Source organism: Homo sapiens, chromosome 15 (genome assembly GCF_000001405.40).
Source record: "Homo sapiens chromosome 15, GRCh38.p14 Primary Assembly".
In the NCBI taxonomy this organism is placed as follows: Eukaryota; Metazoa; Chordata; class Mammalia; order Primates; family Hominidae; genus Homo; species Homo sapiens.
The window spans coordinates 28,533,684-28,535,027 of NC_000015.10; positions in this window are offsets into that span (position 1 = coordinate 28,533,684).

Consider the following 1,344-nt stretch of genomic DNA (forward strand, 5'->3'; position numbering starts at 1 on the left):
CTAAAAAGGTGAAACCACATCTCTACTAAAAATACAAAAAATTAGCCAGGCGTGGTGGTGGGTGCCTGTAGTCCCAGCTACTTGGGAAGCTGAGGCAGGAGAATGGCGTGAACCCAGGAGGTGGAGCTTGCAGTGAGCTCAGATCGTGCCACTGCACTCGAGCCTGGGCTACAGAGCGAGACTCCTTCTCAAAATAAATAAATAAATAAATAAAACTTCTATTTCTTTCACTTTCTAATATAATTTTAATATCTCCTCCTGGGATTTCACTAAGACACATTTTGGACCTCATTCTGATCTTCCTCTCCCCTCCAAGCCCACCAACTTCTGCCCTATCATCCATCCTCATGTCTCTCTGTGTGACATGCTGACTTACTTTTTGGAGAGAATCGCCTAAACAATTAATTCTTTCTTCTCGTGTCTAATCCATCCACTAGTTTCTTATTTCAACAATTACATTTTTATTTCCTTATTTCATTTTATTCTGAGACTGAGTCTCATTCTGTCACACAGGCTGAATTGCAGTGGTACGAACCTGCAGACTCGGCCTCCTGGGCTCAAGTGATCCTCCCACCTCAGCCTCTTGAGTAGCTGGGACTATAGGCAGGTGCCCCATACCCAGCTAATACCATACCCACACAGCAGAGACATAAAAGATTTCCATCCTCAAAGAAGGTTCCATTGAACAGCACTGCTCTAATTCAGTAAAAAATACCACTGAGCACAACATAGTAATAGAAAAGATTGAAGAGGCAGTGCTGATACTTAAAAACCTGGTATTTTCAGCCAGGCATGGTGGCTCATGCCTGTAATCCTGGCACTTTGGGAGGCTGAGGTGGGAAGATCGCTTAAGCCCAGGAGTTCTAGACCAGCTTGGGCAACATGGTGAAACCCTGTCTCTACAAAAAATACAAAAAATTAGCTGGGCATGGTGGCATGTGCCTGTAGTCCCAGCTACTTGGGAGGCCGAGGTGGGAGATCACCCGAGCCTGGGAGGTCAAGGCTGCAATGAGGTGAGATGGCACCACCACACTCCAGCCTGGGTGACAGAGTGAGACCCTGTCTCAAAAACAAAAAACAAAAAACAAAACAAAAACACCTGATATTTATTTTTAAGTACACTATTTTCAAACATTCAGAAGTTATTTCATCCTACCTTCATGGTTTCCATTCTATGCCTGGTTTAGAATTGGGATCTGATAAAATAAACGTGTTCAACAGAACCACTTCTCATGGCTGTATAACAGATGATCAATATGTATTTGCTGAGGAAATTATACAATTTTCTTAATTTTTTTTAACAAAAATTGTGGTTTCAAGGGACCAAACTTGAATACTACACCT